Raw genomic sequence first — 18,384 nt, 5'->3', positions numbered from 1 at the left:
GCCCCTCCCATTATAGATCCGGAGGCCTAAGAGGACAGAATGGTTTCCTGGGCCAGGCCCAGGGTCCCAGCTGCCCTGTTCAACCTCGTACACTGTGCCCCCGCCCCAACCCCTCCCCCCCGCACCCAGCGTCCTGGCCACTGTAGCTCCAGCTGTGGCTCAGAGTGGCCCAAGTACAGCTTGGGCCACAGCTCCAGCGGGTACAAGCCATAAGCCTGCAGGTGCACAGAGTGCAAGAGTTGAGGCTTGGGAACATCCATCTAGATTTTAGAGGTTGTATGGAAAAGCCTGGGTTTCCAGGCAGAAGCCTGCTCCAGGGGCAGAACCCTCACAGAGAACTTCTCCTGGGGCAATGCAGAGGGAAAATGTGGGCTTTGATCCCCCACACGTAGTCCCCACTGGGGCATTGCCTAGTGGACCTGTAAGAAGAGGGCCACTGTCCTCCAGACTCCAGAATGGTAGATCCACTGACAGCTTGACCCTTGTATCTGGAAATGAAACACACACTCAGCACCAGACCATAAGAGCAGCTTTGGAAGCTGAACCCTAGAAAGCCACAAAGTTGGAGTCTGCCCAAGGCCTTGGGAGCACACCACTCCCACCAGTTTACCCTGGATGTAGGACATGGAGTCAAAGCAGATAATTTTGGAGTTTTAAGATTTAATGACTACCCTGCTGGGTTTCAGACTTGCATGAGACCTTTCTTTTGACCAATTTCACCCTTTTGGAATAGGAGTGTTGACTCAATGCTTATAATCCCATTGTATCTTGGAAGTAACTAATTGGTTTTTGATTTTACGGGCTCATAGGTAGAAGAAACTTACCTTGTCTCAGATGAGACTCCGGACTTTTGAGTTAATTCTGGAATAAGTAAAGACCTTGGGGGACTGTTTGGAAGACATGATTGTATGTTTAAATGTGAGAAGGACTTGAGATTTGGGAGGGGCCAGGATGGAATAGTATGGTTTGGATGTATGTTCTTGCCCAGATCTCACATTGAATTACAATCCTCACTGTCAGAGGTGGGGCCTGGGTGGGAGCCGAATGAATCATGGCGTTGAATTTCTCATGAATGGTTTAGCACTATCCTCTTAGTGCTGTTTTCATGATAGTGGGTGAATTCTTGTCAGATCCAGTTGGTTAAAAGTGTGTGGTACCCTCCCACTCACCTCTTCCCTGGCCGTGTGACATGACTGCTCCTCCTTCGCAATTTGCCATGATTGTAAATCTCCTGAGGCCTCCGCAGAAGCAGAGCAGATGCCAGCATCATGTCTCAGGGACAACCTGCAGAACCATGAGCCATTTAAGCCTCTTTTCTTCATAAATTACCCAGTATCAGATATTTCTTTATAGCATTGTGAGAATGGCCTAATACATGACCCCAGGCCCTGGCTTACATATAGGATCTTGCAAACCCACCAGGGAAAAATTGCTACCCTGAAGTGAAAAACACAAGCTTCATTGGATTTGCCACCTGCCGATTGTAGAGTCCTTGGGCCCTGAGTGAATGTAGGTGATAGCCAGTCAGTGGTCAGTGTGGGCCTTGATCAAGACCCAGTGTTGTACTGGCTTTAGGAGTGACCCAACACAATCCTAGTCGTGGTAGCTACAGGGGTGCTTGTGTCACCTCTCCTTTAGCTCCAGGCAGCTCATCACAGAGAGAGACTCTCTTTGTTGAGGGGAAGGAAAGAGAAAAAGATTATCTACCAGGTAATACAGGGGATTTTCCTGAATCTTCCCAAAGATCACCAAGGCAGTACGTTTAACAGTCTGCAAGAGTCACAGCATTACTGGGCTTGGGTGCACCCCAGTGCATATATGGCTGCAGTGACCAAAGGAATAAATCACAACACCCAAGAACCTTTAAATACCTGGAAAGCCCTCCTGAGAAGTATGGATACAAACAAGCCGATACTGCAAAGACTACAATAAATACCAAAGTCTTCAATGCCCAGACATTGATGAACATCCGGAAGCATCAAGACCATCCAAGAAAACATGATCTCACCAACTGAACTAAATAAGGCATCGCTGACCAATCTTGGAGAGACAGATATGTGACCTTTCAGACAGAGAATTCCAAATGGCTGATTTGAGGATGCTCAATAAAATCCAAGATAGTACAGAGAAGGAATTCAGAATCCTACACATAAATTTAACAAAGGGATTGAAATAAAAAGAATCGAACAAAAATTCTGGAGTTGAAAGATTTAACTGACATACTGAAGAATGCGTCAGAGACGAGTAACAGAAGAATTGATCAAGCAGGAGAAAGAATTAGCTTGAAGACAAGCTATTTGTAAATACAGTCAGAGGAGACAAAAAAGTCCTAAAAAGTTTATTGAAGAGGGTAATAACACAGAACTTCCCCCACCTAGAGAGAGAGATTAAAATTCAAGTACAAGAAGATAATAGAACACCAAGGAGATATAATATAAATAAGACTACCTCAGGGCATTTAAAAATCAAACTTCCAAAGGTCAAGGATAAAGAAAAGATCTTAAAAGCGGTAATCATATAAAAAAAAAAATCACATAGAAATAGCTCCAGTATGTCTGGCAGCACAATTTTCAGTGGAAAACTTCCAGGCCAGGAGAGTGGCATGATACATTTAAAGTGCTGAAGGAAAAGACTTTTATTCTAGAATAGTATATCTATGAAAATCCTCTTCATACTTGAAGGAGAAATGAAGACTTTCTAAGACAAAGAAAAGCTGACAGATTTCATTAACACCAAACCTTTTCTACAAGAAATGGTAAAGGGCGTTCTTCAATCTTAAAGAAAAGGATGTTAATGAGCAATGAGTCATCATCTGAAGTAACAAAACTCACTGGTGATAGTAAGGTTTGTTACTATTCTGTTACAAAGAGAATATTATAACACTGTGATTATGATGTCTCAACTACCCATATCTTGAGTAAAAAGACTAAAAGACGAACCTATCAAAAATAACTGCAACAACTTTTCAAGACATAGACACTATAATAAGATATAAATAGAAACAACAAAAAGAGTGGGGGGATGAAGTTAAAGTGTAGCATTTTTTTTTTTTTTAGTTTTCTCTTTGCTTATTTGTTTATGCAACCAGTGTTGTCATGAATTTCAAATAATGGATTATAACTTATTCTTTACAAACCTCATAGTTACCACAAATCAAATAATGTACTCAGGTACATAAAAATTAATAAGAATGTATAACATATGACCAGAGAAAATTACTTTCATTAATAGTAAGACAGGAAGGAAAGAGAGAATGAAGAGAAGGCCACAAAACAACCAGAAAGGAAATAGCAAAATGGGAAGTGTTTAAGTCCTTAACGTACCAATGATAACATGGAATGTAAATTGACTAAACTATCCAATCTAAATACATTGAGTGACAGAATGGATAAAAGAATATACAAGACACAATAATCTGTTACTTACAAGAAACACACTTGACCAATAAAGATAAAGATAGACTGAAAATAAAGGGATGGAACAAGTATTCCATGCCAATCGAAACCAAAAAAGAACAGGATTAGCTATTCTTTTATCAGACAAAATAGGTTTCAAGACAAAAACTATAAAAAGGGACAACGCCGGTCATTGTAGAATGATAAAGGGGTCAATTCAGCAAGAGGACATAACAATTGTAAATAAATATGTACCCAACATTGGAACACCCAGACGTATAAATCAAATATTATTAGAGTTAGAGAGATAGACCCCAAAACAGTAATAGCCGGTGATTTCAATTCCCCATTTTCAGCAGTGGCCAGATAGATCATCCAGACATAAAATCAACAAAGAAACATCAGACTTATTATGCAGTGTAGACCAATTTGAACTAATAGATATTTACAGAACATTTTATCCAACAGCTGCAGAGTACATATTCTTCTTCTCAGCACATGGATAATTTTCAAGGACAAGCCATATGTTCTGCCACGAAACAAGTCTTAGAAAATTCAAAAATCAAAATAACATAAATTAGCTTTTCTGATCACAACTGAATATATCAAGATATCAGTAGGAAGAATTTTGGAAACTATAGAGACACATGGAAATTAAACAATATGCTCTTGAATTATCAGTGGGTCAAAGAAGAAGTTAAGAAGGAAACTATAGAATTTCTTGAAACGAATGAAAAAGGAAACGCAATGTAACCAAAACCTATGGGAAGCAGTGAAAGCAGTACTATGAGGAAAGTTTATAGGTATAAATACCTACATCAAAAAAGCAGAAGAACTTTCAAATAATTGAATGATACACCTTAAAGAGCTAGAAAAGAAGGAGCAAACCAAACCCAAAATTAGTATGAGAAAATAAATATTACAGTAAGGAACAGAGCTGAAATACATTAAAGTACAACAAAATGATACAAAAGATCAACAAAACAAAAAGAAGGTTTTTTTGAAAGGGTTGACAAAAATGACAAGTCTTAAGCTTGACTAAGAAAGAATGAGATCCAGTCACTTACAACAACATGGATGGAACTGGAGGACGTTATGTTGATTAAAATAAGCCCGGCACAGAAAAACAAACTTTGCATGTTCTCACTTACTTGTGAGAGCTTAAAAAAAAAAAAAAAAAAAAAAAAAAAAAAAAAAAAATTAAAACAACTGAACTCATGGAGATAGAGACTAGAATGATGGTTACCAGAGGATGGGAATGCTAGTGGGTCGGGGGCAGTGGGGATCATTAATGGGTACAAAAATATAGTTAGATTGAATGAATGTGATGTAGTATTTGATAGCACGACAGGATGATTACTGTCAAACATAATTTGTTGTACGTTTTAAAATAACAAAAAGTATAATTGGAATGTTTGTCACATAAAGAAATGATAAGTGCTCGAGGTGATGGATACCCTATTAACCCTAATGTCATATTATGCCTGTATGCCTGTATGAATATGTCTCTTGTATCCCATAAATATAAACACATACTATATACCCAAAAAAATAAAAATTTAAAAAATAGGGTATTGTGGTTTCTATCATTAAAGTAAACATCATGCTAAGAACAATTGTCTCAAGAGTAACAACTGTAATTTTCGTTTTGGTGAAAATAATAAAATTATTAATGACAATCTCTGTATAAAATTCCACCAAATGAACTTCTGTTTTCTATTTTTTTAATATTTATAATCAGTGCCATAAATGACTTTATAATAGATATAAAGTTAATCTCTAAAAAGTTAATTTTAGTTCAGGCAATATTGCATGATTGTGAAGCAGGCCCCGGAGCCAAACTACCTGAGTTCCCACTTTGTCACCTTCCCTTGTTTGCGTTTTGACCCAAGTAAGCCTTTGTTTCCCCACCTGTAAATTGGGGCTAATATCAGTTGCTGAATCAATAGGATTAATTACAATAATACCTCTTTTTTTCTGACACACAATTATTATTTTGTATTTAAAAATTATATTTAAAAGCCCCAAATTCTACAAGATCAAAATTACTCTTTAGTAAGTCTTCTTTTTTATTTGTAATTTCTGGGGGTACATAATAGATATTTTAGTACTTGTGGAAGTCATTTATAAATAAGTAAACGCATGTTTGTGCATCCTGATCCTTTGTCTCCATGTTACCTCTGTGCATCTGGTTCATGTTAACCCTAACAAGTCATGTTGTCTGGATACAGCTTTCCAGGTATTTGCCACTTGTGAGGACCCAAGGGCTAAAGTAAAAATTATGGCTGTGTCCTGGGGCGGGGGGGGGGGCGGGGAAGAGGCACAATCGTTCTCAACCCTGGATGTTCATTCGAATTACCTGGTTGGATAGTTTTTTACAGAACCAATACCTGGGCTCCATTCCCAGATATTCTGATTGAATTGTTGGGGAATGGGGCTGGGACGTCATTTTGAAAAGTTCTCTCAGTGATTCTAATCAATTAGTACCTTTTTATATTAAGGCATTATTTATATAAATTCCACTAATTCACCTATCTGTGATAGTTTGAATAAAAGCCGGACTTAAACATTACCTCAATTAATAACTTTCTGTTTTTTAACCTATCTTGGATTTCTTTTCTTTTTTCTCTCCCTCTTTTATTATTATTATTATACTTTAATTTCTAGGATGCATGTGCACAACTCGCAGGTTTGATACATAGGTATACATGTGCCATGTTGGTTTGCTGCACCCATCAGCTCATTTACATTAGGTATTTCTCCTAATGCTATTCCTTCCCCAGCCCCCAATACCTTTCTTAATAGAGAATGAAACAAAAGCTGAAACAAAGTTGATTTTAAAAATTACTTATTTAAGCAGATGACAGCATTCTAGAAGCATCTAGTTGCATATAAAGAATTGTTAAGCTAAAACCAAAACTAATCTATCTATAAGAACCACCTTGCTAGAATTTTTGAGCCATCGTTTTGTTATTTTTATCTATTTTTTTAAGACGGAGTTTTGTTCTTTCACCCAGGCTGGAGTGAAGTGGTGTGATCTCAGCTCACTGCAACCTCTGTCCCCCCGGGTTCAAGTGATTCTCCTGCCTCAGCCTCCTGAGTAGCCGGGATTAAAAAGTGCTTGCCACCACGCCCAGCTAATTTTTGTATTTTTAGTAGAGATGGGGTTTCTATTGGCCAGGCTGGTCTTGAACTCCTGACCTCAGGTGATCCAGCCACCTCGGCCTCCCAAAATGCTGGGATTACAGGCCTGAGCCACTGTGCCCAGCCTGAGCCATCATTTTGAATAAGTAAATAAATCAATTCCAATTTTCATCAGTACAATTTTAGTTTCTAAATGGCGTGCATTTAAAAGTAAAAACATGCATTAAAAATTAAGTTTCTCTAATTTGTACTGGTATCTTTCCCTTAAATCATATTATACAGGTTTTATTTCTGACTTAAATCATGTAATTGTATTTTACATGTAAGACATGTCAATTGAACATCACTGGTAGTTCTTTTCTAATCTAGACTTTCATTATAATACATTACCTCCTTTTATTAGGTGTATTTTTTTAAATTGAGGATTGCATATATGCCAGTAACTGTGAATTCTAGGGAATTGGGCCTGAGAGCCTGTCTTCCTAAAGAGCTCACACCTCTTGGTAATTTGTAAGTTTTAATTGTAGTCCTCTAGGTTTTATAAAGTCTATCCATTTATGCCTTTATTAGTTAGTGCCTAGCATATGATTATGTTTTCATAATATATGTTTATACATTTTATAATGTATTTCCATAAAGCACAAAAAATGCTATTAGGACCATCAAATACAGGCTGAAATTAATGAAAACATGTACTATTTTGCATTTATAAATTTGTATATGGAAAATGAAAATTTTAAAAAATGCTATTAATGTTTATTGCTAGATTGCTAAACTTAGGATGTCATTCCTCATAGACATTGGAGGACAAAATAAATTGGTATGGATAAGTACTTGCAAATAAGGATTCACGGATATTGGTAATCTAATTATCTGTCGGTTTATAGCTGTGCTGTCCAATATTGCAGCCGCTAGCTATGTGTAGGTAAATTATAATTATTATAATTAAATATAGTTAAAAATTCAGTTTCTGAGCCTTACTAGCCATACATATTTCAAGTGTTCATTATTCCCACCTGACTAGTGTCCATTATATATGTATACCTATAGTGCACACATAGAATATTTACATCATTTTAGTAAGTTCTGGACAACACTGGTTAAAGAATAATTGCCTTCCTACATTCTTTCTTTTTTGTTTTTTGAAACGGCGTTTCACTCTGTCACTCAGGCTGGAGTCTAATGGTGCGAACTCAGCTCACTGCAACCTCCGCCTCCCGGGTTCAAGCAATTGTCCTGCCTCAGCCTCCTGAGTAGCTGGGACTACAGGCATGTGCCACCACTCCCGGCTAATTTTTGTATTTTTAGTGGAGATGGGGTTTCACCATGTTGGCCAGGATGCTTTCGAACTCCTGACCTTGTGATCCGCCGCCTCAGCCTCCCAAAGTGATGAGATTACAGGCGTGAGCCATCGCACCCAGCCGCCTTCCTACATTCTAACAGAGTTTCTGTAAAGCAAAGCTGGCATTCCCATTGAATTCCTTTATGTTCATACAGATACGTTTTCATGTCCGGGGGTGGGATGACAGCTCTCGAGTAAAATCATTTGAAAAATACTACGTCTTAGAATGCCATTTACTGCAAATGACAAAAAGGCCAACTCAAAGTGACTTATACCATTGCTCCTTAAAATGTGATTAATGGATCCGAAGCATTGATATCCCTTGGGCAGTTGTTAGAAATGCAGAATCTCAGGCCCCAACCCAGGCCTACTGACTTAGAATGCATAGTTTGACACTCTCCAGGTGATTCATATGTACATTAAAGTTTGAGAAACACTGGGCACAATCATAAGGATGTCTGTTATCTAACAATATATCAAAAATGTCGTTGACGCTAGAGACCATTAGGTCTGTAACTCTATGTTGCCAAAGTTCCAAGTTCTTACAACTTATCTGTTTTGCTAGCCCCTCTCTATTCTCAGATGATCTGAACGATTGGAAGTTTACCGTAGCAGTTCCTAGTATCATGTCCTGATATGCTTTTGCCTATACCTACTGTCAGGACCAACTCCTGCCCTATACTACTTTATTCTAATTCCACTCCCTCGGCTCTCTATTGCCAGTCATATATGTATACTCCATTCACCTTTTGCTTTTACTTTCCCGTCTAAATGACGACTTGAAGGATATAAAATGAAACCTGGAAAAATGCAAACATTTTTTCCTATCTGTGCATGGTAGATTTTTATTTTGTGACTTTGACAATTTTTCCAAATTTATTTACATCTTTAGAATGTTAGCTGGAAATAAGAAACTCCTGTCTCATTTTCATCATGTTTTAAATTGAACTATATGAAGCCATTTTCATCAACAAAGAAATTGAAATATCAGAAATTTCATATGATCTAATACAATATTTTGCCCATGAAAAAAATAAAATAGTGCACAGTCTTGGGTCACACAGGGTTTGTGATTTCTATACTGGCTTCACATGCCACTGTGCCAGCTCTTTAACCTACCACTATCCTCAGAAATAAAATAACAGTAGCTAGGTGCGGTGGCTCACGCCTGTAATCCCAGAACTTTGGGAGGTCGAGGCAGGAGGATAGCTGGAGACCAGGAGTTCAAGACTAGCCTGGGCAACATAGGGAGACCACATCTATACAAAAAGAGTTAAAAATTTGCCAGGGAAGGTGGTGCACCTGTAGTCTCAGCTACTCAGGAGGCTGAGGCAGGAGGATCATTTGGGCCTGGGAGGTCAAGGCTTCAGTGAGTTATGATTGTGTCACTGTACTCGAGCCTGGGTAACAGAATGAGACCCTGTCTCAAAAAAAAAAAAAAAAATACTAGTATTATAAATCTTTACCTTGGCAAGGTTATGTTAAAAAAAGTTGAATAAATGTTAGCCAGTGTATTTTACAACTAATATTAATGACATTTTAACCCAGAGGTTAACCTCCCCACTCCCTGAAGTCACCCCTTTATTTAAACCATCTTTGGGAAAAAGGACATTTGTGTCATGAAGGCTGTTAAACTCACCTTCTGATATCAGTGCCTCCTTCAATTTTGCTTCTTCCTCTGGTTCAGCCTTGCAATGGACCACTACTCACTTCCTTGCTAATCACCCAGAAAACTCTGGCCTATAATTCACCTGCACTTTACTGATGCTCTTTTCACAGGCCTCAGTGAAGGAAGGAAGCGTCCTCTTCATTACTAGTTATTTCAATCTTTAGAGTTTTTCACATATCAGTACTGTAATAAAGCCCTTCCTTACTTTACTGAAGGGCATACTTGGGCATTCTGAGTCTGATACCCTTTGATACTTCCCTGCCAGTGTCACATAAATCTATATCTTCTGAGTTTTAGCAGTAGTAACTAATAGATCGAACACATACCTTAAGTAGACTAGCAGTGGTTTTCAAATAAATAATATTCTTACCTGGAATGTTGTCATTCAAAGTGTGATCCATGACCCAGCAACATTGGTTTCACCTGGAAGCTGGTTAGAACTGAATTCTTCGACCCAACCCCGTGAATTTAAATCAGAATCACCAGGTGGGCTGTATCCATATTTAAGTTTGAGAAGCTGTGATCAAGACCCCGGGGGGCACCAAATCCAAATGCCTATTGTAGAAGCCAGAAACATAACATAAGGAAGTGAGATGAGTTGCGTATAAAAAAGGATAGGGAGTGATGAGGACTACAGCAAACTGGAGAGCTTATACTTTGTATATGAAGTATAATTGGATGCGAAGTATAATTGGATGTGAAGTATAATTGATACTCAATTTTGTCCTATAGGAAGGAAGGTTTAGGGTTGCTGAATCCTATTAAATATGATCAAGAGTGGTCAGATTTGATATTTGTAGCTAATATCTCAAATTTTAACTACTGGCAAAAATTTCAATTTATTTTCAATTAGTATGAGACCAAATCCAGCATATGGACTACTATTTGCTAATATCTAGTCAAGGCCTGTAGTAAGGAAAAGAAATATTTTCTCAATTAAAACATCTCAGAATCCTTTCCAACAATGGGATGAATGCTTTTTGTTTTCGTGCTTATTAGTATCACACCTCCACAATCCTTAGGTTCTTCTGTTTTCAAACTTGTTCTGAGGTTAATTTCATGCTTCAGACACATGAAATCCTGCTTTTTGGAGCCTCAGGTAGAACCCATTCTTTGGCAGTTGGCAGTCACACTTCTCTCTGTAAGTGGAGGTGAAGTCAGGAAGAGAATGTAAAAGTCTCATGTCAAAATAATTCATAGTAATCTCCTGGGGATTGGCAGTTGTCCTCCTATTAATGTTAATATCTTGGTCTCTGCAGAATTTGGGTGAGTTGTGTTTGTAGAATAAAGTTACCTAGAGCAGTAATTTTCAAGTGTGAGTATGCATCAGTCACCTGGAAGTCCTGTTAAAATACACATTTCTAGACCTCATCCCAGAGTTTCTGATTCAGTAAGTGTGAGTCTTGCACACACTTCTAGCAAGTTTTGAATTTGCACTTCTAGCAAGTTTCTAGGGGATGGGCTGATGCTGTTGGTCCAGGGTCCAGTAACCACACTTTCAGAACCACTAATGAAGAGAGAAAAAGCAGGGCTCTATTTGGCTGGGAGACATTGATGTGACTGTACCAGTCATTAAAATATTGAGCCATCCCGTTTGCACACACCCAGCCATTCTGGTCCCTACCCCAAAAATCCCCAACCAGATGTTTCTGTATCCCACTTATAAAGAGAAAACACCTGGCTGGGTTCGGGGACTCGCGCCTATAATCCCAGCACTTTTGGGAGGCCAAGGGGAGAGGATTGCTTGAGCTAAGGAGTTGAAGACCAGCCTGGGCAACATAATGAGACCTTGTCTCTATTAAGAGAAAAAAAAAAAAAGAAGATAAAACACTTATGTGTACATCTCTTCTTATTGGTCAATCTCTGAGTCCAAGTTTGTAAAATGAAACCACGATAGAACATGAAAGATTACTGGGTGTTCAAATTTCAGATTTGGGGCAGAGCTCAAGAAATCTCTGTGGACCCACAGATTAAGGTAGGCTATGATACTGTACAACCATCCTGCACCTTGTGCGATCAAGCTGCACTGGATTTCCGGTTCCTCTGTGATGTGACAGGGCCTTTCACAGGTCTTTCTTTCCGTCTAGAAAGAGTTTATACCTTCTTTTTCACTACTTCTGACTTCAGTCTTCACAGTTGTCCAGTACTGCACTAAAGGCCCCCCTTTACAGACTCAATTCAATTGCTCTCATTTCATAGTATGATCACATTATAACCAACTAATGGCCTGTTGAGCTATATGTATTATCTGTGGCCCTCACCCGCCATCCATATAAACTCCAAGATAGCAAGGGGCTGTGTTGGTCTTCCTTGCCTCTCCATCCGTAGTATCCAGGTACTCAATAATTGTATATTTCGTAAATTAATGAATGAATTTTTCAAGTCTCAACTCTTAGGCTGTGTGTTCTGCGAGGACACTGTTCCCAATGACTGCAGGTCAATTTGTATCCTCTCCTTACTCCCTCAGGAATGTATATAAATCTAATTATAATGGATTTCTTATATTCTAATTATTTTTGTATTTATGTCTCTAATAGTCTCTAAGCTACTTGAAATTGAAGATAGGTATTTTGTCCATTCCTAACAAATATGAGTTTCCTGCATAGATATGAAACTCAGTAAAGATTTGTTGAAGGAAATGTCTGTCCAAAAGCAAAAAGTAAATGATGCTTTCAAATACTAGCAACTTTCAGTTTTTGCTTCCACTTAAATGGATATCTCATCTCTGTTGTTTCTCATAAAAATAAAATGTCTACTTTTTGTGTTTGATAAATGAAAGTTTATTCTCATAACTTCTGATTGCAATGTTCCTCATGGTAAATGTGTCTCTAAAATGTTAAAAGTCAATAAATAGTGCAATCTAAATTATTGTAAACACTCTCAAAAGGAATATGAAATGCATATTGGAAGAAAGCTCTGATAACAACCCCAATACTTCGGACCAGCTATGGAGCCATTATCTTTTATATTTTATTTTACTGGTTTACTTCCCCTGTTTCCCTGTAATTTTATATGAAGAGTGTGAGTGGTATGTAACATTACATACAGGTTCCATGTTGGGGTTTAAATAGCCTGGCATTAGTGTATGAGGATAAAGATGCTGATGGAATTTTGTATCCTTTTGTTTTAAATACACTTATACTAATTTAAGTATTTTGATAGTTACTCTGTTTAGCAGATTCATTTCACTTTTCTCCTTCTTGCTCTGTTCAAAGAGGATGAAGTCTAGATTTTCTGTTACCCAGGTTCCTCTTGGCCTTTGGTTGCTAAAGTACTTCAGCCAATGGGAGGCACTGGCAAGAGGGTGAAAGCAGAGATTGTGGTACTTTTCTCTTCCTCTTCTGTTTCTTACTGTGGAGTGGCTGGAATTGTGTTCCTCTTAAACTACAGCTACTGTTGGACAGCTCTTGTTCCATGTCTCTAATTCTCACTGAGCTCCGGCAACAGCTCTCTTCCTTTTTTCTTCCAGTTCCGGGGATGCTAGGTCAGTTGTCTTTGTTGTTAGGTCCTGGCTCCTTCACTATCGTTTATTATTTTTCCCCCGACCCTTCACATAAATGTGTAAGTAGTCTACTGAGCGAAACATATTTGAGTGTGTTCTATCTTTCCTGCCAATAGTATGCAGCATCCACACACACACTCAACAGACCCAACTTTTATATTTTATTGTTTGAAATGCTATCAATTTCTAAACATTGCTTTTTAAACCCTACTTTAAATTGACAGATAAAATTGTATATTCATCATGTACAACGTGATGCTTCTGAGTAAATATATATTGTGGAACAGTTGAATCTAGCTAATTAACATATGCATTACCTTACATATTTATCATTTTTATGGTGGGAATATTTAACGTCCTCTCTCTCTACATTTTTCAAGAGTATATTTTCATTAGCTGTAGTCACCATGCTGTAAAATACATCACTTGAATATTTTGACTGTGACTATATATCCCTTGAAAAGTATCTCCATACCTCCCCCTTCCCCATAACCACCTCAGCCTCTGGTAACCACTATTCATTCCCTACTTCTGTGGGATCAGCTCTTTTAGATTCCACATATAAGTGAAATTAGGCAGTGGTTTTCTTTCTTTACTGGCTTATTTCACTTAACATAATATCCTCCAGGTTCATCCATGTTGTTGCAAATGACAGTATTTTATTCTTTTTTATGGCTGAATAGTATTCCATTGTATATATGTATACCACATTTTCTTTATCCGTTCATATGTTGGTGGATATTTGGATTGATTCCATATCTTGGCCATGAATAGTGCTGCAATAAAAATGGTAGTGCAGATATTTCTTTGACATACTGATTTCATTTCCTTTGTATATATAATTCATAGTGGGATTTTGTATCATATTGTAGTTTTGTTGTTCATATTTCAAGGAGCCTTCATACTGTTTTCCATGATGCCTGTACTGATTGCCATTCCCATTTACAGTGTGTAAAGGTTTTCTTTTTTTTAATTAGTAATTTTTAACTTTTGCAGGTACGTAATACATGCCTTTTTCCTAAATCGTTATCAACATTTATCTTTTTTTGTTTTGGATAGTAGCCATGCTAACAAAAGTGAGGTGATAATCTCTTCTTTTTTCTTTTGACAAAGATATCGTTAATTACTATTATATTTTAACTTTTAGGTGCAAGGGTACATGTGCAGTTTTGTTACATGGGTAAACTTGTGTCATGGAAGTTTATTGTACAGATTATTTCATCACCAGGTATAAGCTTAGTACTCATTAGTTATTTTTTCCTAATTCTTTCCTTCTGCCACCCTCCAAACTCCAATAGGCCCCATGTCTGTTGTTTCCCTCTATGTGCCCATGTGTTCTCATCATTTAGCTCCCACTTATAAGTGAGAACGTGGTGTATTTGGTTTTCTGTTTCTGCGTTATTTTGCTAAGGATAATGGCCTCCAGCTTCATCTACGTTTCTGCAAAGAACATAATCTTACTCTTTTTCATGGCCGCATAGTATTCCATGGTATGTGTTTACCACATTTTCTTTATCCAGTTTACCACTGATAAGCATTTAGGTTGATTGTCTTTGTGATTGTGAATAGTGCTGCCACGAACATATGTGTGCATGTGTCTTTTTGGTAGAATGATTTATATTCCTTTAAGTGTATACACAATAATAGGATTGCTGGGTCCAATGGTAGTTCTGTTTTGAGGTCTTTGTGGAATCACCACACTGTTTTCAACAATAGTTGAAATAATTTACACTCCCACAAACAGTGTATAAGTGTTCCCTTTTCTTTGCAAGTAAGCTGATACCTCATTGTGGTTTTAATTTGCATTTCCCAGATGATTAGTGCTGTTGAGCATTTTTTCATATCTGTGTTATCCATTTGTCCCTTTTATGATAAATGTCTATTTTGGTCTTTTGCCTATTTTTAATCAGGTTATTTGTTTTCTTGCTATGGAGTTGGTTGAATTTCTTCCATATTTTTATATGAACCCCCATCAGATATATAGTTTGCAAATATTTTTCTCATTCTATTGGATATCTCTTTACTCTGTTAATTTTTAATTTTAATTTTAATTTTTTTGCTGTGCAGAAATTTTTAGTTTGGTATAAGTCCTCAGTCTATTTTTGCTTTTGTTGCTTGTGCTTTTACAGTCATATTCAAAAGTTATTGCCCAAATAATTGTGATGAAGCTTGTCCTCTATGTTTTCTACTAATAGATTGAGAGTTTTGAGTCTTAAATTTAAGTTTTTAATCCATTTCAAATTGGTTTTTGTATGTGGCAAGGGATAAGGGTCTAATTTCATTCTTCTGCATGTAGATTCTTACTTTTCCTGGTAGCATTTGCTGAAGAGGGTGTCCTGTCCTCACGGTGTGTTCTTGACACCCATGTCCAAAATCAGTTGAATGCAAATGCATTAATTTATTCCTGGGTTCTCTATTATGTTCCACTGATCAGTTTTTATGCTAATACAATGCTGTCTTGGTTACTATGGCAGAATTTCTTCTAGTTGCGTACTTTGACCTTAGTGGGAAATAAAAAACATCCTTCCAAAGAACCATATTATTAGTGTTTCCATATTGATCGAGTATCTTCTGTTTTTTTTATTGGTTAACACTATCATATATGGGTATACTAAGAGACTCCTGGCAAATGCCCATAGTTTTCTAATGTAGTACTACTTGCCCCGCATTGTATTGGGTGAACTCAGTTGACCATTTGTGCTTAGGTTCTGTATGGTAACCCCTTTCTCTGTCTGTGGATTCAGCAGCATGAGGAGCCAAACATGAACAGCGGTCATCTCAACTTCTAGTTTAAAGAAATCATTTTTGAGTTTCTTATAACTCAAAATGTTGAAGAGGTAGTTCAAAAAAAAGTTGAAGAGGTAGTTCACAGATAAGGAACAGAAGTCACAAGGTGGAGAGAGATGGATAAATTAATATTAGGTTAATACAGATGAGATAATTATATATAGAAGTATTTATGGGTGAGTACACACTCACACATCCACTTCTTTATGTCAACCCAGAGGTCCTGTAAGCTACAACACCCTAGAAGCAAGGAGCATACCTAGCAACAGGATCTTGGGTTTCAGTAACATTCTTTAAAGAAAAAAAAAAAAAAAAAAAAAAAAAGGAACCAGAACACTGTGGAGAAACAGCTGATTCTAACACTAGGAAAGGGAATATAGAAAATGAGCCTGGAACATTTGGTAGTGCCAGATAGTAAGAACATGCTAAACTCCACGGTCTCGCTCTAAACAAAAAACACTGATGGGATGTGTCAAAGAAGCCAACTAAGAGACTTCCCAATGTCCAAAGCTGGAACTATTTGAGCAAAAATCCAAAGCAAAAACTAGTATTGGATTTAGCCCAAAGTATCAAATAACTATACATGAGTCCATGCTATGTAAATAAATAATTTCATAAATAAATGGAGGAATAGAGACAAATCTCCAATGCAGAAAAAACTCCAAAAACTTATGTAACTTCTCTGCCCTCACGGAGAGGGAATGTAACTCCCCACTCCACAGGGGCTGTGTATAGTGACTTTCTTATTAAAAAACAGTGTGAAAAGAGGGGGAAAGAGTAACTTTATAGTGGATAAACATGACACCTATTACTTTAGCCAGGTGGTCACATTTAACATTGATAAGTCACGTTGAGGGTATATATGCTTTATAAAATGTGCTTAAAATGGCCCATTACTTCTGTGGTCTTTCAAAAACCCCAGTTTAATTATGAGGAAAAAAAATCAGACAAATCCCCACTGAGAGGCATACTACAAAATACCAGCCTGGCCAGCACTTTTAAAAACTGCCAGAAAAATTCTGAGAAACTGTCATAGCCAAAAGCAGATTAAGGAAACAGGACAATTGAGTGTAATATGGAATCCTTGGAGAGATACTGAAATACAAAAAATAGTTTAAGGAAATCAGAATATAATAATAGTCTCCAGCTAATGCACAAATATTGGTTCATTAATTGTAAGAGATGTTCCATAATAACATAAGATGTTAATAAAACGGGAGACTGAGTGCAAGTTATATGATAACTCTTTGTATTATAATCTCATTAATTTTTCGTGAATCTAAAACAGCCAAAAAATTAAATCTGTTAAAAAACACTCTCAGCTATGTGTGCACTTTGTGTGTTTAAATGTGATGATTAATGGAAACTTCCAGTAAAGATTTTAGAGTAAAATTATGTATTCAAAATAACATATTCCTAATTCAAATTATAAGATCAATGTTCAGAATATAGTTTTGAAAAATGCTTTAAACATGATGTTTATAAAGAGTATTTCCTTTAAAATAACCATCAGCACTTCTCATTTGCATCTCAAATTTTGGTTGAATTAATGAATGAACAATAATGTGTTTTCATCCTCAACATAAAGTTGTGTAATTAATAGGCAAAACATTATCCCATGTCCCTGATGCTGGAAATGTAATTGAGAACGTTTAAGAACCTGGTTGTAGAGCTTACCGCTGGGCTGTGAACCTAGGCCTTTGGACTTTAAATTCATTACCCAGCCCACTATTTTCTATATCTTTGTGGGGAAAAAGCACCCTTTCTCTAGTCTATTTGTGTGTATCAAATGACGTCCAAACTTAATGGGTTAAAACAATTTATAATTGCGTCATGATCTGAAGACCGAGAATATAAGCAGGGCTCAGCCAGGTTGTTTTTATATTACTAGTTTTATAGCTGGGGGTCACCCCTTGGGCTGTGCTGAGCTGGAAGCTCACTTCTAATACAGTATTTTATCCTGCAGAATCACTCCTATATGGTCTCTAATGATTCGGTAGTGTAGCCTGGCCTCCTTTACAGCATGGAATCTAGGCTTCAAGAGAGGAAGAAATACAAATGCTGCCAGTTCTTTTATAGCCTACACTTGGAATTGGTGTGGTGTCAGTTATGCCACATTCTGTGGTCAAAAAAAAAAACACAAGTCCAGATCATATTCACAGGGATGGAAAATAGACCTCATCTCTTGAAGGGAAAAGTGACAAAGAATTTGTGGCCATCTTTAACCACCACACATACTAAATAATGAGAATGTAAACGAACAACTGCCAAAATATACTACTTAGTCAATTATCAGATGCTTTGCACTTCAGTTAGCATGTTCACATTTAGTTGACTATGTGAAAGTTTTTAGAAATCAGGATTTGTGAACTATTATAAGTCTGAGAAATAATAGTTCCGGGGTGACTGATAGTGGGCTTTACTTACATCCTTCTCAATGTCCAATAGATGCCCCCAAATGCGAACATTCCATATATTATAAATTCTATTGTTTTACATTGTGATGTTCAGTAATAAGTTGCTTTCAAAGAGGTCATAATAGGCT

General features: G+C 37.2%; 1 protein-coding gene across 17 annotated transcripts in view; it reads left to right on the top strand.

The window, feature by feature from the left end:
* The window catches only part of DMD (dystrophin), a 2,220,167-nt gene that overhangs the window by 706,535 nt on the left and 1,495,248 nt on the right, over nucleotides 1-18,384 (top strand).

This window comes from Homo sapiens, chromosome X (assembly GCF_000001405.40).
Source record: "Homo sapiens chromosome X, GRCh38.p14 Primary Assembly".
Lineage (NCBI taxonomy): Eukaryota > Metazoa > Chordata > Mammalia > Primates > Hominidae > Homo > Homo sapiens.
The sequence above is the reverse complement of the archived record's forward strand: the minus strand, read 5'-3'. Positions and strand labels throughout refer to the sequence as shown.